Here is a 26455-nt window from a genome sequence, read left to right as displayed (position 1 = left end):
ACAATTAAAAGAACTAGAAAAGCAAGAGCAAACACATTCAAAAGCTAGCAGAAGGCAAGAAATAACTAAAATCAGAGCAGAACTGAAGGAAATAGAGACACAAAAAACCCTTCAAAAAATCAATGAATCCAGGAGGTGGTTTTTTGAAAGGGTCAACAAAATTGATAGACCGCTAGCAAGACTAATAAAGAAAAAAAGAGAGAAGAATCAAATAGACGCAATAAAAAATGATAAAGGGGATATCACCACTGATTCCACAGAAATACAAACTACCATCAGAGAATACTACAAACACCTCTACGCAAATAAACTAGAAAATCTAGACGAAATGGATAAATTCCTGGACATATACACTCTCCCAAGACTAAACCAGGAAGAAGTTGAATCTCTGAATAGACCAATAACAGGAGCTGAAATTGTGGAAATAATCAATAGCTTACCAACCAAAAAGAGTCCAGGACCAGATGGATTCACAGCCGAATTCTACCAGAGGTACAAGGAGGAACTGGTACCATTCCTTCTGAAACTCTTCCAATCAATAGAAAAAGAGGGAATCCTCCCTAACTCATTTTATGAGGCCAGCATCATTCTGATACCAAAGCCAGGCAGAGACACAACAAAAAAAGAGAATTTTAGACCAATATCCTTGATGAACATTGATGCAAAAATCCTCAGTAAAATACTGGCAAAACGAATCCAGCAGCACATCAAAAAGCTTATCCACCATGATCAAGTGGGCTTCATCCCTGGGATGCAAGGCTGGTTCAATATACACAAATCAATAAATGTAATCCAGCATATAAACAGAGCCAAAGACAAAAACCACATGATTATCTCAATAGATGCAGAAAAAGCCTTTGACAAAATTCAACAACCCTTCATGCTAAAAACTCTCAATAAATTAGGTATTGATGGGACGTATTTCAAAATAATAAGAGCTATCTATGACAAACCCACAGCCAATATCATACTGAATGGGCAAAAACTGGAAGCATTCCCTTTGAAAACTGGCACAAGACAGGGATGCCCTCTCTCACCACTCCTATTCAACATAGTGTTGGAAGTTCTGGCCAGGGCAATTAGGCAGGAGAAGTAAATAAAGGGTATTCAATTAGGAAAAGAGGAAGTCAAATTGTCCCTGTGTGCAGACGACATGATTGTAGATCTAGAAAACCCCATTGTCTCAGCCCAAAATCTCCTTAAGCTGATAAGCAACTTCAGCAAAGTCTCGGGATACAAAATCAATGTGCAAAAATCACAGGCATTCTTATACACCAACAACAGACAAACAGAGAGCCAAATCATGAGTGAACTCCCATTCACAATTACTTCAAAGAGAATGAAATACCTAGGAATCCAACTTACAAGGGATGTGAAGGACCTCTTCAAGGAGAACTACAAACCACTGCTCAAGGAAATAAAAGAGGTTACAAACAAATGGAAGAACATTCCATGCTCATGGGTAGGAAGAATCAATATCGTGAAAATGGCCATACTGCCCAAGGTAATTTACAGATTCAATGCCATCCCCATCAAGCTACCAATGCCTTTCTTCACAGAATTGGAAAAAACTACTTTAAAGTTCATATGGAACCAAAAAAGAGCCCGCATCACAAAGTCAATCCTAAGCCAAAAGAACAAAGCTGGAGGCATCACACTACCTGACTTCAAACTATACTACAAGGCTACAGTAACCAAAACAGCATGGTACTGGTACCAAAACAGAGATATAGATCAATGGAACAGAACACAGCCCTCAGAAATAACGCTGCATATCTACAACTATCTGATCTTTGACAAACCTGAGAAAAACAAGCAATGGGGAAAGGATTCCCTATTTATTAAATGGTGCTGGGAAAACTGGCTAGCCATATGTAGAAAGCTGAAACTGGATCCCTTCCTTACACCTTATACAAAAATCAATTCAAGATGGATTAAAGACTTAAACGTTAGACCTAAAACCATAAAAACCCTAGAAGAAAACCTAGGCATTACCATTCAGGACATAGGCATGGGCAAGGACTTCGTGTCTAAAACACCAAAAGCAATGGCAACAAAAGACAAAATTGACAAATGGGATCTAATTCAACTAAAGAGCTTCTGCACAGCAAAAGAAACTACCATCAGAGTCAACAGGCAACCTACAAAATGGGAGAAAATTTTCGCAACCTACTCATCTGACAAAGGGCTAATATCCAGAATCTACAATGAACTCAAACAAATTTACAAGAGGAAAACAAACAACCCCATCAAAAAGTGGGCAAAGGACATGAACAGACACTTCTCAAAAGAAGACATTTATGCAGCCAAAAAACACATGAAAAAATGCTCATCATCACTGGCCATCAGAGAAATGCAAATCAAAACCACAATGAGATACCATCTCACTCCAGTTAGAATGGCAATCATTAAAAAGTCAGGAAACAACAGGTGCTGGAGAGGATGTAGAGAAATAGGAACACTTTTACACTGTTGGTGGGACTGTAAACTAGTTCAACCATTGTGGAAGTCAGTGTGGCGATTCCTCAGGGATCTAGAACTGGAAATACCATTTGACCCAGCCATCCCATTACTGGGTATATACCCAAAGAACTATAAATCATGCTGCTATAAAGACACATGCACACGTATGTTTATTGCGGCATTATTCACAATAGCAAAGACTTGGAACCAACCCAAATGTCCAACAATGATAGACTGGATTCAGAAAATGTGGCATATATACACCATGGAATACTATGCAGCCATAGAAAATGAGGAGTTCATGTCCTTTGTAGGGACATGGATGAAATTGGAAATCATCATTCTCAGTAAACTATCGCAAGAACAAAAAACCAAACACCGCATATTCTCACTCATAGGTGGGAATTGAACAATGAGATCACATGGACACAGGAAGGGGAATATCACACTCTGGGGACTGTTGTGGGGTGGGGGGAGGGGGGAGGGATAACATCAGGAGATATACCTAATGCTAGATGACGAGTTAGTGGGTGCAGCGCACCAGCATGGCACATGTATACATATGTAACTAACCTGCACAATGTGCACATGTACCCTAAAACTTAAAGTATAATAATAAAAAAAAAAGAAAGGAAATTTGGTAAGATCTATCAAAATGGGAAATGTGCATACATTTTACTGACCATTTTCATTTTAAAGATTAACCTTAAAGATATAATCTCAGAAGTGGAAGAAGCTATATGCCCAGAAATGTTTGTTTCTGAAGTGCTTAGAGTAGTAATAATTTTGGAATATCTTAAATGTCTATCAATAGGAAAATTATATAAATTCTGATAATATATAAAATTTATTATTATTATTATGTACCCATCACAGTTGTAACTTTACATATAATGAGATTATTTGCTTCCCTATATCTCTCTGTCCATAGATGATGGAGTACATGAGATTAAGAATGTCCATGTTTGTCTCTAGCAACTGGCTCATTTCCTATTAGGAACTAAATACATACTTATTGAACAAACAAATGAACTGAGGTCTCTCTTTATCTTAATAGGCTGGAAGTGATGGAGAGAGTATTGGAAACTGTCCCTTTTGCCAACGCCTTTTCATGATCCTCTGGCTTAAAGGAGTTAAATTTAATGTGACAACTGTTGACATGACCAGGTAAGAGAAATCAGGACATGTTAAATTCTAGGAATTGAGATTGGTAGATACCAATAAAATATTGGTGTTTATTTAATGTGTACTTTATCTAGAGACCTAACTCTGCTTATTTTTAATAATCATAGAAAGCCTGAAGAACTAAAGGACTTAGCCCCAGGTACCAATCCTCCGTTCCTGGTGTATAACAAGGAGTTGAAAACAGACTTCATTAAAATTGAGGAGTTTTTAGAACAAACCCTGGCTCCTCCAAGGTACAGCATTTACAAGATACTATTTTGCTGAAGATAATCTATTTTACTGGCTTGTTTATTGCAGATTTAGTATTCTTACCAATTTAAGTACTTTTGGATTTCTGGGCCTACATGTCAAATGACACACATGCATAAACATACCCCTCCAACTTCAAATACAAAAAGATGATATGTGTAATATTTCAAATAATTTTTAAAAGCTGCATAACATACATAACACAAGAAGGTAAGTTCTCTGTGCTCTAGAAATAGAGTAGGAACATATAGTGAGATGGGAGTGAGGGAATGGGATACTAACACTATGTAATTCATAAGGATTGGTCATGACTGGTCCTTAACACCACTGACGAAATGACAGAACATACCCAACACGAGGGCTAGTGGCCAGGACATAGACTTCAAGCAGTTAACCAGAGGCCAGAACTGTACTGCCTACACTTGAATGACAACCGCACATCTCTGTCTACCCAGGATAGGTCTAGAAACAAGAAGCATGCTGTATTAATTTTCTATTGCTGTGTAACAAATTACCACAAACTTAGTATCTTAAAACAACAGCTATTTATTATCTCACAGCTTCCATTGGTCAGTTGTCTGGGCATAGCCTGCTAAGGTCCTCTGCTCAGGGTATCAAAAAGTGGCATTCAAGGTGTTGGTCGGGAACACAGTTATCATATGGGGCCCAGGTGACTCTTCCATCTTCATTCAAGTTTTTGGCAGAATTCAGTTCCTTGCAGCTATATGACTGAGGTCTTAGGTTATTGGGTAGCTGTTTGTTGGGGTTGGGTTGGCATTCAATTACTAGAGGCTGCCCCTCTGTATAGGCATTTCGCAACATGGCTGATTGTTCTCTTCCTCTAAAACCTGCAGGAGAATGTCTCTCTGATGGTTCACCTTCTTTTTTTTTTTTTTTTTTTTTTTTTTGAGACCGGAGTCTCGCTCTGTCGCCCAGGCTGGAGGGCAGTGGCACATGTTGGCTCACTGCAAGCTCCGCCTCTCGGGTCTCGGGTTCACGCCATTCTCCTGCCTCAGCCTCCCGAGTAGCTGGGACTACAGATGCCCGCCACCACGCCCGGCTAATTTTTTTTTTTTTTTTTTGTAATTTTAGTAGAGATGAGGTTTCACCGTGTTAGCCAGGATGGTCTCAATCTCCTGACCTTGTGATCCACCGGCCTCGGCCTCCCAAAGTGCTGGGATTACAGGCGTGAGCCACTGCGCCTGGCCTGATGGTTCACTTTCTTTTAAATTTTTTTATCAGTACAAATTATGGGATACATATGAAATTCTATTATGTGTATGTAATGCATAGTGATAAAGTCAAGGTATCTACGGTGTCCATAACCCAAATACAATACATTTTTGTAACTATAGTCACCCTGCTCTTCTATCAAACATTGAATTTATTCCTTCTATCTTATTTATGTGTGTACTTTTTAACACACTTCTCTTCATCTTCCCTTCTCCTCCCAATCACCCTCCCCAGTCTCTGTTATCTCTCTTTCCATTCTCTATCTTCATGTGATCAACTTTTTTAACTCCCACATATAAGTGAGAACATGCTATTTTTGTCTTTTTGTGCCTGGCTTATTTCACTTGACATAACAACTCCAGTTCCATCCATGTTGTTCCAAATGACAGGATTTCATTCTCTTTTATGGCTGAATACTATTTCATTGTGTATGTATACCACACTTTCTTTATCCATTTATCTGTTGATGGACACTTAGATCGATTCCATACCTTGTCTATTGTGAATAATGCAATAATAAACATGAGAGTGCAGGTATCCCTTTGACATACTGATTTCTCGTGCTTTGGATAAATGCCAATTAGTGAGATTTTTGGATCTTATGGTAGTGCTACTTTTGGTTTTTTCAGAAATCTCCATGCTGTTTTCCATAGTGGCTATATTTATACTCCCAAAAACAGTGTATAAGAGTTCCTTTTTCTCCACATCCTTGCCAACGTCTGTTAATTTTTTTTTTGTCTTTTTAATAATAGCAATTCTGACTGAGGTGAGATGATATCTCATTTTGGTTTTGGTTTGCATTTCTCTGTTGATTAGTAAAGTTGAGCATTTCTTTATGTACATTTTGGCCATGCCCTTTGCCCATATTTTATGAGATTTTTTTTATTGTTGAGTTGTTTGATTTCCTTGTATATTCTGGATATTAGTCCCCTGTTGAAGTTTGCAAACATTTCCTCTCATTCAAAAGGTTGTCTCTTCACTCATTTCTTTTGCTGTGCAGAAGCTTTTTAGTTTACTTGAGTCCTATTTGTCTATTTTTGTTTCTATTGCCTGTGCTTTTGACATCTCAATCATAAATTATTTGTCTAGAACAATGTCCAGAAGAATTTTCCCTAGGTTTTCTCTTATTATTTTTATAGTTTTGAGTATTATGTTTAAGTCTTCAGTCCATTTTGAGTTGATTTTTGTATACAGTGAGAGATAAGGATCAAGTTTCATTCTTCTGCATATGGCTGTCCAATTTTCCCAGTACCATTAATTGAAAAAGGTGTCCTTTCCCCAATGTTCTTGTGAACTTTGTCAAAGATCAGCTGGCAGTAAATATGTGAATTTATTTCTAGGTTCTCTATTCTGACCATTGCTCTGTGTGTCTATTTTTATACCATAACATGCTATTTTGGTTACTATAGCCTTGTAATATATTTCAAAGTCAGGTAATGTGATGCCTCTAGCTTTGTTCTTTTTGCTCAGAATTGCTTTGGCTATATGGAATCTTTTTTGGTTACATGTGAATTTTAGTATTCTTTTTTTGTAATTCTGTGAAAAATGACATTGGTATTTTGACAGGGATTGCATTGAATCTGTAGGTTACTTTGGGAAAATCACAATTTTAATAATATTCATTCTTCTGATCCATGAGCATGAGATGTTTTCCCATATATTTTTATCATTTTCAATTCCTTTCATTAGCATTTTGTAGTTTTCATTGTAAAGATCTTCCACCTCCTTGATTAAAATTATTCCTAGATATTTTAATTTTTAGCTATTGTAAATGGAATTGCCATCTTCATTTCTTTTGTGGGTAGATCATTATTGGTGTATAGAAATGCTACATATTTTTTAGTGTTGATGTTTTTAACCTGGAACTTTACTGAATTTACTTATCAAATCTAAGAATTTTTTGGTGGAGTTTTTAGGTTTTACTAGATACAAGATCATGGCACCAGTAAAAAGGGACAATTTTACTTCCTTTTTCCCAATTTGGATGCCTTTTATTTCTTTCTCTTGCCTGATTGCCATACCTAGGACTTCCAATACTATGTTGAATAGGAGTGGTGAAAGTGGGCATTCTTGTTTTTTTTCCATTTCTTGGAGGAAAGGCTTTCAATTTTTCCCTATTCAGCATGATATCAGCTGTGGGTTTATCATATATAGCCTTTATTATTTTGACATATTTTCCTTCTATGCCCCATTTGTTGAGAGGTTTTATCATGAAGGGGTGTTGAATTTTATCAAATGCTTTTTCTGTATCTATTGAGATGATGATATGTTTTTTGTCCTTTATTCTATGGATGTCATATATTGAGGTTATTGATTTGCACATGTTGAACCATTCTTGTATCACTGGTATAAATCCCACTTGATCATGGTGTATTATCTTTCTGATATGCTATTGGATTCAGTTTGCTAGTATTTTGTCAAGAGTTTTTGTATCTATGTTCATCAGAAATATTGGCCTGTAGTTTTCTTCTATGTGTGTGTTCTTGTCTGGTTTTTGTATCAGGGTGGTGCTGGCCTCATAGAATGAGTTAAGGAGAGTTCTCTCCTCTTCCATTTTTTAGAATAGTTTCAGGAGAATTGGTATTAGTTCTTCTGGTAGAATTTGTCAGTGAATTTGTCCAGTCCTGTGCTTTTCTTCATTGGGAGACTTTTTTATTACTGACTCAATCTTGCTACTCATTATTGGTCTGTTCATGTTTTCTATTTCTTCCCAATTCAGTCTCAGCACATTGTATGTTTCCTGGAACTTATCCATTTCCTCTAGGTTTATCAGTTTGTCAGCATACAGTTGTACATAATGGTCTCTGGTAATCTTTTGTATTTCTTACATATATGACTTAATGTGTCCTTTTTCATTTCTAATTTGTTTGTTTGGGTCTTCTACTTTTTTGGTTAGTCTAGCTGGCAGTTTATCAATTTAACAAAAACCAACTTTTTCAATCATGATGCTTTGTATTTTTTAGTCTGTATTTCATTTAGTTCTGTTCTTTATTACTTCCTTTTTCTGCTAATTTGGTATTTGGTTTGTTCTTGCTTTTCTAGCAGCTTCACATACATTATTAGATTGTTAATTTGTCATTTTCCTACTTTTTTCATGTAGGCATTTATTGCTATAAGCTTGCCTCTTAGTGCTGCTTTTGCTGTATCCCACAGGTTTATGTATGTTATGTTTCAATTTTCATTTGTTTCAAGAATTTTTTTTCTTCTTAAATTCTTTATTGACCATTGGTTGTTCAGGAGCATGTTGGTTAATTTTTATGTATTTATGCAGTTTCTAAAGTTCCTCTTGGTGTTTATTTATAGTTGATTTGATTTCATTGTGGCCTGAGAATATCCTTGGTATGATTTTCATTGTGTTAAATTTATTGAGACATTTTGTGGCCTGACATATGGTCCATCCTGGAGAATATTCCATGTGCTGATGAATGTATATTCTGTAGTTGTTGGATAGAATGTTCTGTAAATGTCTGTTTGGTTCATTTGGTCTAAAGTCCAGTTTAAGTCTAATGTTTATTTGTTGATTTTCTGTCTAGATTATCTATCTAATGTTGACAGTGGGATGTTAAAGTTCCTTCCTATTATTGCACTGCAGTCTGTCTCTACCTTTAGATCTAGTAATGTTTGCTTTATGAATCTGGATGCTCCAGTATTGGGTGCATATATATTTAGGATTGTTATATCTTTTTTGCTGGGTTGATCTGTCATTATATAATGATAGTTTTAGTCCTTTTTTCACTTTTTTTGATTTAATGTCTGTTTTGTCTTATATGATTATAGCTAATCCTGCTCACTTTTGGTTTCCGTTTGTGTGAAATATCTTTATCAACCCATTTCAGTCTATATGTGTCTTTACTAGTGAGGTGAGTCTCTTGTAAGTACTATGTAGTTGGATTATGTTTTTTAAGTCTATTCATCCAGTGTATGTCTTTTAAGTGGAATATTTAATCTGTTTATGTTTACATGTGAAGACTTATTTCTGTCATTTTGTTATTTTTTTCTGGTTGTTTTGTATATTCTTTGTTTTTTTTCTCTCTCTCTTGTCATTTATCATTACAGTTTGGTGGTTTTGTGTAGTGGTAATATTTGAGTCCTTTATTTTCTTTATATCCAGGCAAGAAGGATGGCCACTATTCTCACACTGGGAGCAGTGTATAAGTGATTCAGCCTTTCCTTTCTTGTTGGACTCCTTACCCTTCAGACAAATTCCACATATAGCATTTGGAATGACTTTGGGCTTGTACCCAGGAACTGAGTTGGACAGTACAGAACGTTTGGGAGCATCTTTTCTTGGAGTGGCAGCTTTGTCTTTTGATTTCTGTCTTCCCTGGAAAGAGTCCTCCTGGCTGTCAGGAGAGCTTTCCCCTTCAGATACCTTGCCAGAGGAGCTGTCCGAAGTGCCTTTATTTTTCCGCTTCTCATCACCTCAACCATCTTCGCCGTCATCTGAATCACCGTCACTGTCTAGAGCAGGGAGCTCAGGATCCAGAGTGGCCTCGTACAGGGCTGTGTTTAATGGCAGATACCACAGCTCATCTGGTGAGTACCTCTTATAATATTCCTGGAACTGTCCGGGGATGAGAGCCACTGGGTAAGAACTGACCTTTGTTCGCCCTGTTGGCAAAACTTCCTACTTCCCTTGAGGCACCTGGATAACGTGTCTGCAAGTCAAAATAAGCTCTTCTTTCTTCCATGCGTTCCCGGTTTAAGTTGCTGCTTTTTTTGGCAGCTTTTTTATTTGTTTGTTTGTTTGTTTGTTTGTTTGTTTTGAGACGGAGTCTCGCTCTGTCGCCCAGGCTGGAGTGCAGTGGCGCGATCTCGGCTCACTGCAAGCTCCGCCTCCCAGGTTCACGCCATTCTCCTGCCTCAGCCTCCCCAGTAGCTGGGACTACAGGCGCCCGCCACCACGCCCGGCTAATTTTTTGTATTTTTAGTAGAGACGGGGTTTCACCGTGTTAGCCAGGATGGTCTCGATCTCCTGACCTCGTGATCTGCCCACCTCGGCCTCCCAAAGTGCTGGGATTACAGGCAGCTTTCTTAATATACTCAGGCACTTTACTGGCTTCAACTTTCTGAGTATTCTGTTGTTACATTTGGGAATACTCTTTGTAATGGTCTGTAATTCGTTGACGTTCTTTTTCTTGTAGAATAACAGAATACTCAGCATGTTTGGCTGGATATTCCTTTATCGTTAAAACAATCACTTCATCACTGCTCAGTTAAACCTAGAGTGCATTGAGTTTCAGTAATGACATTTGGCTCTCTCAGGTAGAGTTTCTCCTTGTGAGACAAATCTCGTCTCTCTAAATCTGGATATTTCCTTTTAAAGGAGGTCACACCCAAATATTAACTGACTTGTTCTTGAAGCATATAGTATTCTCCTGTTTCATCAGGTGGCCATTTGTACTCTATCAAATTTTATGCTGGATAGTAACTAAAGCCAAGATCTTGACTTGAAGTTTCACAGCTCCTAGAACCATCTCCTGAGCCCATTCGCCTCTTTTTGGATGCCTGGGTCCGGTCATTTGAATTATCTTCAATTTCATCCTTCGAGGACTGCGCTCCGGGGGTGGCTGGGTCGCTGTCGCATGGCCGCGGGGCTGCGGGCGGGAATGGAGAAGGTCCTGCGGCGGCGGCAGCGCTCCTGACATCCGTCCGACCCCATTTTTTTAAATATCTGTTTTATTCAGCATACTCTTTCCCAACATATCTGTAATACTAGGCATTAGCACTCTTTTTACATCTGTGCCAATATAACAGGTGTAGTGACATCTCATTGATACTTAACTTGTATTTCCTTGAATGATAGATACATTTAAGCATCTTTACCTATGTTGTTTGATCATTTGGTTTTGTTCTCCTGTGAATCATCTTGTCAAATCCGTCTGATTTTCTATTAGCTTCATACTGAATAGGCAAAAGCTGGAAGCATTCCACTTTAAAAGAGGCACAAGACAAGGATGCCCTTCTTACCACTCTTATTTAAAATAGTATTGGAAGTTCTAGCCAGAGCAGTGAGGCAAGAGAAAGAAATAAAGGGCATCTAAATAGGAACATAGAAAGTCAAACTATCCCTGTTTGCAGACGACATGATTCCATATCTAGAAAACCCCATACTCGGCTGCACTCAGCATCGGAGCCAGGAGCTAGTGGCCGCCGCCACGTCCCACCAGACCTGCATCCAAGCAAGTGAAGATGTTAAAGAGATCTTGCCAGAGCCAGAAATGGAAAGTACAGACCTCTGAAAATATCTATTGAAAATGGGCAACTTATGATTGGATCATATATAGTCAGCCTTCAGATTCCTGGGATAACGATTATGATTCCTTTGTTTTACCCCTGTTGGAGGACAAACAACTGTGCTATATATTATTCAGGTTAGATTCTCAGAATGCCCAGGGATATGAATGGATATTCATTGCATGGTTTCCAGATCATTCTCATGTCCGTCAAAAAAGGTTATATGCAGCAACAAGAGCAACTCTGGAAAAGGAATCTGGAGGTGGCCACGTTAAAGATGAAGTATTTGGAACAGTAAAGGAAGATGTATCATTACATGGATATAAAAAATGTTTGCTCTCACAATCTTCCCCTGCCCCACTGACTGCAGCTGAGGAAGAATTATGACATTAAAATCAATGAGGTACAGACTGACGTGGGTGTGGACGCTAAGCATCAAACACTACAAGGAGTAGCATTTCCTATTTCTCGAGAAGCTTTTCAGGCTTTGGAAAAAATAAATAACAGCTGAACTATGTGCAGTTGGAAATAAACATAAAAAATGAAATTATAATTTTGGCCAACACAACAAATACAGAACTAAAAGATTTGCCAAAGAGGATTCCCAAGGATTCAGCTCGTTACCATTTCTTTCTGTATAAACATTCCCATGAAGGAGACTATTTAGAGTCCATAGTTTTTATCTATTCAATGCCCAGATACACATGCAGTATAAGAGAACGGATGCTGTATTCTAGCTGCAAGAGCCCTCTGCTAGAAATTGTAGAAAGACAACTATGGATGTTGTAATGGATGTAATTAGAAAGATTGAGATAGACAATGAGGATTAGTTGACTTCAGACTTCCTTTGTGAAGAAGAAGTACATCCCAAGCAGCATGCAGGAAAAAGAAGAATTCGAAGACTAATTAGGGGCCCAGCGGAAAATGAAGCTACTACTGATTCAAGTCATCACATTAAACATAGCAATACTAGTTTTTTAAAAGTCCAGCTTTCAATACAGGAGAACTGAAATCATTCCATGTTGATATAAAGTAGGGAAAAAATTGTACTTTTTGGAAAATAGCACTTGTCACTTCTATGTACTTTTTAAATTAATGTTACATAAGAGTCATGATTTCTATTTTTGACTTAAAGCTAGAAAAGAGTTCAACATAATGTTTAATTTTGTCACACTGTTTTTATAGTGTTGATTCTACACTTTCACATACTTGTTAAAATTTTATACAATTGAGCCAGTTCTAGAAAGTCTGATGTCTCGAAGGATAAACTTACTACTTTCATGTAGGACAGAAAGACCTTAAAATATTCTTATCACTTAATGAATATGTTAAAGACCAGGCTAGAGTATTTTCTAAGCTGGAAACTTAGTGTGCCTCGGAAAAGGCCAGAAGTTGCTTATTCTGAGTAGCTGTTCTAACTCTGTCAGACTATAGGATCATCTCTGCAACTTTTAGAAATAGTGCTTTATATTGCAGCAGTCTTTTATATTTGACTTTTTTTTAAACAGCATTAAAATTGCAGATCAGCTCACTCTGAAACTTTAAGGGTACCAGATATTTTCTATACTGCAGGATTTCTGATGACATTGAAAGACTTTAAACAGCCTTAGTAAATTATCTAAGGCTCTGTGAAGCCAAACATTTATGTTCAGATTGAAATTTAAATTAATATCATTCAAAAGGAAATAAAAAATGTTGAAAGAGTTTTAAAAATCAGGATTGACTTTTTTCTCCAAAACCATACATTTATAGGCAAATTGTGTTCTTTGTCACTTCTGAACAAATATTCAGATTTAAAATTACTTTAAAGTCCTAGTATTTAACAGGCTAGCACAGATAAACACCTTAATAATCTCCTTTCAATTAATATTGTATTTCAAACCACATTTAACTGTCTTCTAATGCTTTGCATTTTCAGTTACAACCTAGAGAGATTTTGAGCCTCATATTTCTTTGATACTTGAAATAGAGGAAGCTAGAATACTTCATGTTTAGTCTGTTAAACCTGCTACAAAAACCATAACTTTGAGGCATTTTCTAAATGAGCTGTGGGGATCCAGGATTTGTAATTTATTGATCTAAACTTTATGCTGCGTAAATCAGTTATCAGAAATGCACATTTCATAGGGTGAAACACTCATTTTTTTTTTTTTTGAGACGGAGTTTTGCTCTTGTTGCCCAGGCTGGAGAGCAATCGCACGATCTCCGCTCACTGCAACCTCTGCCTCCAGGGTTCAAGTGATTCTCATGCCTCAGCCTCCCAAGTAGCTGGTATTACAGGCATGTGCCACCATGCCTGGCTAATTTTGTATTTTTAGTAGAGACGGGGTTTCTCCATGTTGGTCAGGCTGGTTGTGAACTCCCGACCTCAGGTGACCCGCCCGCCTTGCCCTCCCAAAGTGCTGGGATTACAGGTGTGAGCCACTGCGCCCGGCCAAAGCACTTATTTCTAAACCTTATTATCTAAGGTAATATATGTACCTTTCAGAAATTTGTGTTCAAGTAAGTAAAGCATATTAGAATAATTATGGGTTGACAGATTTTTTATATAGAATTTAGAGTATTTGTGTGGGGTTTTGTTTGTTTACAAATAATCAGACTATAGTATTTAAACATGCAAAATAATTGACAATAATGTTGCACTTGTTTATTAAAGATATAAGTTGTTCCATGGGAGCACACATGGACAGACATACATACACCCAAACTATTGCATTAAGAATCCTGGAGCTGTGTTGCAGACCATAGCTGAAGCAGTTATTTTCAGTCAGGAAGACTACCTGTCATGAAGGTATAAAATAATTTAGAAGTGAATGTTTTTCTGTACCATCTATGTGCAATTATACTCTAAATTCCACTACACTACATTAAAGTAAATGGACATTCCAGAATATAGATGTGATTATAGTCTTAAACTAATTATTATTAAACCTATGATTGCTGAAAATCAGTGATGCATTTGTTATAGAGCATAACTCATCATTTACAGTATGTTTTAGGTGGCATTATCATACCTAGACAATGAATAACATATTCCCAATAAATTTATATAGCAGTGAAGAATTACATGCCTTCTGGTGGACATTTTATAAGTGCATTTTGTATCACAATAAAAAATTTTTCTCAAAGAAAACCCCATACTCTCAACCCAATAGGTCCTTCAGCTGATAAACAACTTTGGCAAAGTTTCAGGATGCAAAATCAATGTACAAAAATCACTTGCATTTCTATACATCAACATCAGCCAAGCTGAGAGCCCAATTGGGAAGGCAATCCCATTCACAATTGCCACACACAAAAAAATAAAATACCTGGGAATACAGCTAACTCAGGAGGTGAAGGATATCTACAATGAGAATTACAAAACACTGCTCAAAGAAATAAGAGAAGACACAAACAAATGGAAAAATATCCCATGCTCATGGATAGGAAGAATCAATATCAACAAAATGACCATACTGCCCAAAGCAATCTAAAGATTCAGTGTTATTTCTAACAAACTAACAATGACATTCTTCACAGAACTAGAAAAAACTATTTTAAAATTCTTATGAAACCAAAAAAGAGCCCGAATAGCCAAGGCAATTCTAAGCAAAAATAACAAAGCTGGAAGTATCGCATTAGCCAACTTCGAACTATACTGCAAGGCTACAGTAAGCAAAACACAGCATGGTACTGATACAACACCTGTAATCCCTGCACTTTTGGAGGCCGAGGCAGGTGGATCACCTGAGGTCAGCTGTTCCAGATCAGCCTGGCCAACATGGTGAAACCCCATCTCTACTAAAAATACAAAAGTTAGCCAGGCTTGGTGACACACGCCTGTAATCCCACCTACTCAGGAGACCAAGGCAGGAGAATTGCTTGAACCTGAGAGATGGAGGTTGCAGTGAGCCAAGATCACGTCATTGCACTCCAGCCTGGGCAACAGAGTGAAACTCTGTCTCAAAAGAAAAAAAGAAAGAAAGAAAGAAAAAAACAGGCACATAGACCAATGGGACATAATAGAGAGCCCAGTAATAAGGCCGCACACCTACAACCATGTGATTTTTGACAAAGCTGACAAAAGCAATGGGGAAAGCACTCCCTGTTCAATAAATGGTGCTGGGCTGGCTAGCCCTATGCAGACGATTGAAGCTGGACCCGTTCCTTATACCATATACAAAAATCAAGATGGATTAAAGACTTAAGTGTAAAACCCAAAACTACAAAAACCCAGAAGACAACCTAGGCAATGCCATCCTAGACATAGGAACAGGCAAAGATTTCATGACAAAGATGTCAAAAGCAATTGCAACAAAAGCAAAAATTGACAAATGGGATTTAATTAAATGAAAGAGCTTCTACACAGCAAAAGAAACAATCAACAGAGTAAACAGACAACCTACAGAATGGAAGAAAATTTTTACAAACTATGCATCTAACAAAGGTCTAATATCCAGTGTCTATAAGGAGCTTAAATAAATTTACAAGAAAAAAATCGCATTCAAATGTGGGCAAAGGACATGAACAGATGAACAGACATACATGGGGCAAATTAGCATATGAAAAAAGCTCATTAGTGATCATTGGAGAAATGCAAATCAAAACCACAATGATATACCATCTCACACAAGTCAGAATGGCTAAAAATAAAAATAAAAAGTCAAGAAATAGCAGATGCTGGCAAGGTTGTGGAGAAAAGCAAACACTTATACACTGTCAGTGGGAGTGTAAACTAGTGCAACCATTGTGGAAGATAGTGTAGTGATTCTTCAAAGAGCTAACAGCAGAACTACCATTTGACCCAGCAATCCCATTACTGGATATATACCCAGAGGAATATAAATCATTCTACCATAAAGACACGTGCATGAGAATGTTCATTGCAGCACTATTCACAATAACAAAGACATGGAATCAACCCAAATGCCCATCAATGACAGACTGAATAAAGAAAAGGTGGTACATATATACCATGGAATAGTATGCAGCCATAGAAAAGAATGAGATCGTGTCTTTTGCAGGAACATGGATGGAGCTACAGGCTATTATTCTTAGCAAACTAACACAGGAACAGAAATCCAATACTACATGTTCGCATATATAAGCGGGAGCTAAATGATGAGAACTCATGAACACAAAGAAGGGAACAATACACACTGGGGTGTTCTTGAGGGTGGAGGGTTGGAGGAGGGAAAGGAGCAGAAAAGATAACAACTGGGTACTGAGCTTAATACCTTGGTGATGAAATAATCTGTACAGCAAATTCCCATGACATGAGTTCACCTATGTAACAAACCTTCACATGTATCCGAAACTAAAATAAATTTTTTTAATGAAATAAATATGGTTTTTGGGGGGCCTCCTCTTTCGGCTTTGGAGCCCCCCTCCCTCTGTCTCGGTATGGGGGAGTTTCTTCCTTCTGTCTTCTCCCTTCCTTCTTGCCTATTAAACTCTCCGCTCCTTAAAACCAAAATAAAAAAAAAAGAAAGAAAGAAATATGGTTTTTATTTTTCTCACATAAGAAACTCAGAATGAACCTAGGATGATAGCTCCGTAATTTCATTAGGGATTTCAACTCCTAATCTTTCTTCTCTGCCATCCTTCAAGTGAGGCTTCCAGTCTCAAAGTTAACTCATGGTGACAATATGTCTGCTGGAACTCCAGGCAACAGATCTAATATACAAGCCAGCTCTAAGGAGTTTTCACAGAAGCCACACCCAAAAATTTCCATTTACAGCTCATTGTCCAGAGGTAATTCATGTGGTTAGATCTAAGTAGTGGTATATAAGTGTGTTATCTGCCATAGTTTGCCCCTCTGACCACCCAAATAAATGTATGTATCCCTCTTCTCACATATGGAACACACAGTTACTACAGTCGGCTTAAAGTCCAGTACCTTTGGATGATGTGCAATATCTCCATTAGATACTAATGGTCAGGCAGTCAAATATATTAAAAATTATCTCCACCCACTCTTTGACACACCCATTTTTAAAAGTGAAGATTCGATAACACACAACAACCACTGGTTCATACTAGTTCATAATAGTTACCATGACTTGAAAAAGGACTGAAATATTGTTTCTACGTTTTATTGTTACAAACACTGCTAAAAGGAATTGTCTTTTTACAAGGCCCTCCACAACGGTTAGTCTTCCATATTGCTGGATATGGGAACCCTTCCATATGAACTTTGTTTTATCTACTTTTTAAAAGCCTTGTAAACACCCACATTAATGGAAATGGTGGAGTAGGGAATTCCAGAACTCCATTCTTTCATAAAAGCAATGAATAGGCTGGCAAAACTGTCAGAAGCAACTTTTTCAGAACTCTGGAATCTAAGCAAAAATTACAGCAGCCAGGAGAACACTTAATGAATAAAAAATTTAAATTTCAGTGAGAGTTCTGTGGCATTTTTGGTTACCTTGAGACCATCCTCCAACCCTCAGCCCATCAATAGTCTTAAAAATGGCAGCTTATATTGCAGGTGCAGGTTACTGGTACCAGAGGAAGCGATATTGACCTTATTTTCAATGAACTGTGATTGTGTAGTTTGACCTATCTGGTGGTTCCCTGAAGGATTACCTCAATGGTTTACCTTTTTATCACCTGCACTAGAGCTTCCCCAGGGCTGAGGCACCTTCCCTGGTGCTGGTTGTGGAAAGAATTTTAAAGCAAATGTATTAGTCACAGCTACACAGAACAAGGAATAACATCTGGGAAAAGCAATAGACAAATGGAAAAATCCCAGGAAGGGCCAGGCGCGGTGGCTCATGCCTGTAATCCCAGCACTTTGGGAGGCCGAGGCGGGCAGGTCACCTGAAGTCAGGAGTTCGAGACCAGCCTGACCAACATGGAGAAACCCCATCTCTACTAAAAACACAAAATTAGCCAGGCGTGGTGGTGCATGCCTGTAATCCCAGCTACTCGGGAGGCTGAGGCAGGAGAATCGCTTGAACCTGGGAGGCAGAGGTTGTGGTGAGCCGAGATTGCGCCATTGCACTCTAGCCTGGGCATGGACAACAAGAGCAAAACTCCATCTCAAAAAAAAAAAAAAAATCCCAGGGAGAAAGAGGCTGAGATACTTGGGGGATGCTTAGGGAAATAATGGCTTCAAAACATTTTATGTATTCTGAGGACTATAGAAGACTATGCATGGACCCATTTCTAGATGTGTGCTCACAAAAGAACTGAGAAGACTAGGCTCTCAATTCTGGCTAAATTTCAGGCACTGCACAAGCAGAAAATGAAGGCAAAGGCAGAACTTTAAACTGTATAGCTAAGCAATGAAGGAGAGCCCCAACACAGAACCAACCCTCAAAAACTAAGAAAGCTTTTTGTTTTCATAGTTTGTTTCTTTGTTTTGCTTCCAGGAGTTTAATAAAATCTCTGTAAAATCAATAACTGACTAAAGCTAATGGAACAAATATTTCAGAGGCCACACATACCAAAAAAATATAGGCTTTACAAAATTAGTTAAGAAAATTAACTAAACCAACAACAACCACAATAAGCAGCAACAACAAGACCAGGGGACTGGGAGAATCAATCAGATTTCCAGAGTTTCTACATTATAACATTCAAAACATCTGGTTTTCAAGAAAAAAAAAAAACTGAGGCATGTGAGGAAACAAGAAAGTATGGCAAGGACAAAAAACCAAACACCGCATGTTCTCACTCATAGGTGGAAATTGAACAATGAGAACACTTGGACACAGGATGGAACATCACACACCGGGGCCTGTCGGGGGGTGGGGAGGGATAGCATTAGGAGATATACCTAATGGGCGCAGCACACCAACATGGCACATGTATGCATATGTGACAAACCTGCATGTTGTGCACATGTACCCTAGAACTTAAAGTATAATAAAAAAAGAAATGAAAAAAATACATTGCATAGAAGAAATACGATCATACATTTATAGCATTTAGCACAATTCCTGACATAATAAAATACTCAATAAAACAACAACAACAAAAAGAAAAACCCACAGCTGACATTGTACTCAATAGTGAAGGACTGAAGTTTTTCCCCTTAAGATCAGAAACAAGACAAGGATGTTCATTGTGGTTGGAAAAAATAATTGATGTAATTTCAATCTTCTTAAGTGGTTAAGAATTGTTTTGTGGCCTAACATATGATCTATCCTGGTGAATATTCTGTATGCACTTGAAAATAATGTGTATTCTGCTACAGTTGCCCAAAATCTGGGGTTGAAGAAGCCAGCTTAGTTCTGGGTCGGGCCTGAAGCCTGGGGCTCTGTGGGTCAGCCTTTTTTGGACTCGGTTGGAGCCTGGTCTGGGCCTGAAGCCTGAGCTTGAATGGGCCAGCCTGAAATCTGGGGCCACCAGGGATGGCCTGGAGTCTGTACCCATGAGGGCTGTATTGGAGGCTGAATGTTTGGATGCTGACCTGGTACCTGTGGCCATGGGGGCCAGCCTGGAGCTGAGGTCCATGGGTGTCAACGTGGCACTGGGACAGACCCAAAGCCTGGGAGTGTGAAGGCCAGCCTGGAGCTGAGTTGGTCTGGATACTGGGTCTGTGGGTATTGGCCTTAAACTGGGGTCCAAAGGTGCTAGTCTTGTGATGGAGAGGGCCTGAAAGCTGAGTCTGGGGGTACAGTGGCTGTCCTGAAGCAAAGGGGCTGTCTTGGAGGGGTGCAAGCCTGGAGGTATGATCTGGTGCTGAAGGAAGTCTGGAGTCTGGGGCTACTGGCCCAGGGCTGGGAGACTACATCTGCAGGGATGGCCTGGACATTGGGGCTACAAGGGCTGGCCTACTGCCCAAGTCTGTGGGGACCAGCCTAAAGTCTGGGGTAATCATGGCCTGTCCAGGGCTAGACTTTACTGTGTTGGGCCCAGTGTTTGGGTCTGAGGCAAAGTCTGGTGTTCACTTACCTCTTCTTCTCCCAAGCAAAGGGCATCTCTCTCCATACTGTGGGTTGGAGAAGGCATAACACAGGTAATTTAAAACTGTCCTGCTAAGGTGAAAAATAAAGCAAAAAAGAGAAGTAGTGATGTTAGGGAAAGGAGTGATGTTGCAACGTTACAATTGAGCGTCCAGAGAAAGGCTTCACTTAGAAAGAGATACCCATGAAAAAGACCTGAAAGAAAAGTGGGAGCAAGGGATGTCCATGTGTCCCCCTCACCTACGGGCAGACCAAGTTAAAAGGCTCTGGGGTAGGAGCTTTCCAGGCCTATTTGAATGGTAGCAAGAAGGTCTGTGTCATAATTGAGCGAGTGAGGGATATGAGAGAAGAGAGGTAAGGTGGGATCACATCATGTGGATCCTTATAGGCTACTGTAATGAGTTAGGCTGTGACTCGGTAAGATGAGACGACTGCAGACTACTGAGTAGGGGAAAGCCATCACTCTGGCTTCTGGGTGGTTAATAGACTGGGTGGGAAAGAAGGTGGTTCATATCATGTGGGTCCTTGTAGACCACTATGAGCACTTGGGCTCTAACTCTGAGATGAGGACATTGCAGGCTAATGAGTAGGGGAAAGACATGACATGACTTACATTTTAACATGATTGCTCTGTCTATGGGTGGAGAATATTCCAGGTGTATGAGGGACAAGTATGGGAATAGGGAGAATAGTCAGGAGGCTGTTACAGTAATATAGGCTTTGGACTGGGCAGGGGCGCGGGGGTGGACAGATTCTGGATACATTTTGAAAGGTAAGCTGACCAGAGTTGCTAATAGATCAAATGTGGAGTTAGAAGGAAAGAGAGGAATCAAGGAAGATACCTAAGTTTTTGACCTGACCATTTCTAGCTTCCAGTGAATTTTTTTTTATGAAAAGGAATTGAGTGTTTTAGCCTTTGTTTGTATTGTATATATTTAAGGTATATCACATGATGTCTTGATATACATATATATAGTGAAATGATTACTACAGTCAAGTAAATTAACATATCCATCGCTTCATATAGTTATCTTTTTTATATGGTAAGAGCACCTAAAATCTACCCTTTGCAAATTTTCAGTATACAATATTATTAGTCCTCATATTATACATTATATCTCTAGACTTACTCATTCTACATAACTGCAACTTTGTACCCTTCGACCTACATCTCCCTCTTTCCTCCCCCCACTGCCCCGGTAATCACTGCTCTATTCTTTTTTCTATATATTTGACCTCTTAAAGATGCCACACATAAGTGAGATCATGGAGTATTTGTCTTTCTGTGCCTGGCTTATTTCACTTAACATAACGTCCTCCAGGCTCATCCACGTTGTTGCAAATGACAGGATTTCATTCTTTTTAAGGCTGATTAATATTCTATTACATATATATATATATATATATATATCTCACAATTTCTATATCCATTCATCTGTTGATGGGAACTTAGGTTGTTTCTATATGTTAGCTTTTGTGAATAATGCTGCAGTGAACATGGCAGCACAGATATCTCCATGAGGTGCTGATTTTTTATTGAATACTTTTCTGCATCTAGTCATTATCAAATGGGTTTTCTTATTTGATTTGTTAATGTGGTGAATTATATTGGCTACTTTTTTCCCATTTTCTCCATCCTATTTATTCCACCATTTGTTTTATAAGTTGTAATATTTGAAACCATATTTTTCTTTTTCTTTTTCTTTTTTTGAGACTGAGTTTCACTTGTCCCCCAGGCTGGAGTGCAATGGCGCAATCTCAGCTCACTGCAACCTCCACTTCCCAGCTTCAAGCAATTCTCCTGCCTCAGCCTCCCAAGTAGCTGGAACTACAGGCGCCCGCCACCACGCCCAGCTAATGTTTGTATTTTTAGTAGAGACAAGGTTTCACCATGTTGGCCAGGCTGGTCTCAAACTCCTGACCTCAGGTGATCCACCCACCTCAGCCTCCCACAGTGCTGGGATTACAGGCGTGAGCCACTGCGCCTGGCCAAAACCATATTTTTCTACTACTCATGTCTGCAAATGTATTGTACTGACATTATATCTTCTGACAAATAGGCTTTTAGGAGCAAGTATGGAAACCACCATTTGAAACATTGTTTCTACAGATAAATGAGCTTTGGATTCCAGACAACTGATTACCCTGTGAACTTTAGAAACCAAAGTGTTCTGAGATTGGAAAAAATATAAACTTCTACTGAGAGACTTCTAAGGGTGTTTAGTTTCCAGCACAATGTTCCAGAACTTCCATTTTCAGTATAGTGCAAGCTAGGGCACCTGGTCTCTGTCATGTTATGTGCAAATGATAGTTGACGCATGTTTCTTTTTAAGGTACCCTCACCTGAGTCCCAAGTACAAGGAGTCTTTTGATGTGGGCTGTAACCTCTTTGCCAAGTTTTCTGCATACATTAAGAATACACAAAAGGAGGCAAATAAGAGTAAGATACCTTTCTTTAAATCTCTATTTTTCTCTCACTCTTCATCTTCTCACTCAGCAAAAATAGAATTTTCCTGAATATATAGTATATTTTGGGGACTGGCCTAGTCTTCCCCTCATTCTCTATACTCTCCTCTGAAATTCCCTCGCATGAAGTTGTATTAGATTTAGAACTCAAGATTCAATATAGCTATTACCAACCATAGCTCAATTAGAATATTGACATACTAGGTGTGAACTAACTGCAGGACTGTGTACCTTTAAGGTTTCTTAAACTGTGGCACCTACCATTTCCCACGAACATTCTTAAATAGATTTATTATCCTCTGAGTCACAAGAACTGTGTTTTTTCTTTCACTTTCTAACTCTTCTGATCACTTTTCTTTCTTTCTTTTACTCTCCTGCCAATGCACCTCCCTAAGAAAAGCCCAAAAGATTAACACTCACTATTTCATCTTACTTTGTCTTATCAGTGAGTAGCTGAGCATTCTAAATAGTTAACTAGATATTGAAGAGCCAGTGTAAGTAGTATGTATAGATAGAGGTGTCTAAATGTGTGGAAAGCATATTTAGAATGTATTTAGTCAAAAGACAATACATTTACAAGTAACTCTATTACTTCATTGCCTCAGATTTTGAAAAATCTCTGCTCAAAGAATTCAAGCGTCTGGATGACTACTTAAACACCCCACTTCTGGATGAAATTGATCCAGACAGTGCTGAGGAACCCCCAGTTTCCAGAAGACTATTCTTGGATGGGGACCAGCTAACACTGGCTGATTGTAGCTTGTTACCCAAGCTGAACATTATTAAAGTAAGTCTTTATAAGGCAGGCTGAATGGGTGGGAGGGGTTTGCCAGTTGCCAGCACAAAGCATAGTGACCTTCCAGTGCGGTATTATTATATTATAGCTTTGTCATTATCATCATCATCATGTGTACTATATACATCTCTTTTCTCTTTAGAGGGAAGATCCATAATGTTCTCTTCTGGGAAGTATTAAAACTTGTTTCTTTTTTTTTCTTTTTTGAGATAGGGTCTTGCTCTGTCACCCAGGTTGGAGTGCAGTGGCATGATCAAGGCTTATTGCAACCCCCACCTCTGAGGCTCAAGCAGTCCTCCCACCCCACTCTTGAGTAGCTGGGACTACAGGTGCGTGCCACCACGCCTGGCTAATTTTTTGTACTTTTTGTAGAGACAGGGTTTCACCATGTTGCACAGGCTCGTCTTGAACTCCTGGGCTCAAGTGATCCGCCTGCCTTGGCCTCCCAAAGTGTTGGGATTACAGGCGTGAGCCACCGTGCCCAGCCAAAACTTGTTTCTTTCTTTCTAAATCAGAAGGTATTTTCCACTGTCTTATTTTGTAATAATATTACCTATTTTACAGAATTGTTAAGAGAATTAAATAAATTAAAGCATTTAAAATGCTTAGAACAGTGCCTAGATCATAATAGGGAATAACCAATTTGGGCTATTAGTATTATGATGAATTAATCATAAATTTAATAAATATTTATTGCATAGACTTACACAGAATTTACTCTTTGAGTCCTATGCCAAACACAGAGAATATGTAAAGAAAGAAGACATAGGACTCTAAATAAACTCTTAGTCTAGTCGTGGTGGATATGTGCTCATTTTCTGTGGTTCCTTCCTCTAAATATAGTCATAATTAAATACAGAATCAATATCAACATGATTGTAAGCATGTAGTTTTGTCAACATTTGTAGACAAAACATCAAAATAGTCCAAGATTCGTGTCTACTTCATAGTTTATTTTATAGTGCTTTTTGTGTCGATAAGATGCCTTTGATAATCTTGACTTCTAAGAAACATTTCTACATAGTAGGCATATTACTGATGCCTTCTTTTTCCTCTTTTTTTTGCAAAATTCTAGGTTGCTGCCAAGAAATATCGTGACTTTGACATTCCAGCAGAATTCTCAGGAGTCTGGCGTTATCTCCACAATGCCTATGCCCGTGAAGAATTTACCCACACGTGTCCTGAAGACAAAGAAATTGAAAATACTTACGCAAATGTGGCTAAACAGAAGAGTTAGGAGAGCTCTTACAGGAGACAAGGCTATATTTGTGATCAGATTTTACTTATTGACATATTAGAAAGGTTTTTGCAAATAAGAATATGAAAAATACTGTTTCTTCTATCCAACTCTCTTATGAAAAGGAACTCTGTATTTTCTATTAGCCATAAATAATCTGTCCACTGTATTTTACAGGTCTTCATACTTTTACTTAATTTTCTTTATCTGTATGGCAAACCACTGCAATCCTGAATGACATGGAAAGCATCACAATCTTTTGCCCTTTGCTTGAATTCCTGGAATGCATACATATAAGCTAAACAGATGTCTGCAGTTATAAATGTCATAAGTAGAGGTACAATCTCACCCTGCTCCTTAGAAACATTTCCATATAAATCGCTAAAATAATTTCACATTTTTGTTAGTTTAATATATACATGAGTTTATTTCTGATATAAATAATAAATACAGAGAGTGAGCATATCAGAGAGGCAAATTCTTAAAGAATGATTTTTAAAATCAGCTCTAGGAAGAGCTCAAGATCAATTGGTCATAGAACAGCATTTGACGCCTAGAACTATGACCACCTCATGGTCAGAGATGAGAATGTAGCCTTTGTGACCAGATTATATTATTTTTAAATGAAGAAGCACTCATTAAATAAAACATAATTTTAAAAAACAATATAAGAAACAAAGTCAACTGAATCTTTTATTCATAGAAATGAAAAGGAAAATAAAAACTGTGGCTGACCAAAAGGTCTTCTTGTTGTCCATAAAAGGATAAGGTAAACAGTCCTTAGATAATTACAAAACTTTCTACAAAAGTTAAAATGTTACATTACTATACGTATTCAGATTCACTTGTTAAAGTACTCTTAAATCATTCAAATCTGGAAACAAAAGCTGAACTTAACTCTTGCTCCCTCAAAAGAGAAACACAAGCATAAGTGCAGCTTCAAAAAAGGAAAATATTTTAGGCTTTGGTGGAAGGGTGGAGTTTAGATAAAATTTAAATGAAGTAGCGTTTTAATAGGTTCAAAGAAAAGTAAGGCAATGAGCAAACTCAAAGTACTGTCCTTGAAAACCATAGAGTCAAGATAAATGTATAGTGTATGGTTAGGTGGCAGAGAAATGCAATCATGTTGATAATCTTTGAGATACATCCTGTCATCAGTATATTTCAGAATACATGCAATGCACTAGCAAGTTACAATTGATAGAATACATTTGAAATGTTAAATGAAATAAGCCAGGCACAGAAAGACAAACACCACATGATCTCACTCATATGTGGAATTTTAAAAAGTTGATCTCACTCATATGTGGAATTTTAAAAAGTTGATCTCACACAAGTAGAGGGTAGAATCGTGGTTACCAGGGGCTAGGGAGAGAAAGAAGGCAGAGGCACTGAAAGATGTTGGTCAATGGGTATAAAGTTACACCTAGGAAGAATAAATTTTGGCATTCACCACAGTAGGGTGACTATAGCAAATAATAATGTAGCATGTATTTCAAGATAGCTAGAAAAGCAGGTTTTTAAATGTCACCACAAAGAAATAACAAATGTTTATAGTGGTGGATATGGTAATTACGCCTATTTGATCATTATACTGTGTGTACATGCATTGAAACACCACATTGTATCCCATATATATGTACAATTATGTGCCCATTATACATTTAAAAAATAAATTTTAAAAACCTTCAA

The 26455-nt window shown here is 38.2% G+C and overlaps 1 protein-coding gene and 2 pseudogenes across 1 annotated transcript in view; 2 read left to right on the top strand and 1 right to left on the bottom strand.

The window, feature by feature from the left end:
- CLIC2 (chloride intracellular channel 2) overlaps positions 1 to 26455 on the top strand; it is a 58404-nt gene extending 31949 nt beyond the window's left edge. Inside the window, exons 2-6 of the mRNA NM_001289.6 lie at positions 3521 to 3630; positions 3756 to 3881; positions 22598 to 22704; positions 23336 to 23517; positions 24602 to 26455. Coding sequence (NP_001280.3) covers positions 3521 to 3630; positions 3756 to 3881; positions 22598 to 22704; positions 23336 to 23517; positions 24602 to 24763 — 687 coding nt within the window. The 3' untranslated portion in view covers positions 24764 to 26455. The remainder of the gene's footprint in view (positions 1 to 3520; positions 3631 to 3755; positions 3882 to 22597; positions 22705 to 23335; positions 23518 to 24601) is intronic.
- Positions 9225 to 10727, bottom strand: PHF10P1 (PHD finger protein 10 pseudogene 1; annotated as a pseudogene).
- TWF1P2 (twinfilin 1 pseudogene 2) lies at positions 11247 to 14492 on the top strand (annotated as a pseudogene).

The sequence above is a fragment of the Homo sapiens genome, chromosome X (genome assembly GCF_000001405.40).
Source record: "Homo sapiens chromosome X, GRCh38.p14 Primary Assembly".
NCBI lineage: Eukaryota > Metazoa > Chordata > Mammalia > Primates > Hominidae > Homo > Homo sapiens.
This window is presented reverse-complemented; position numbering and strand designations above follow the sequence as displayed.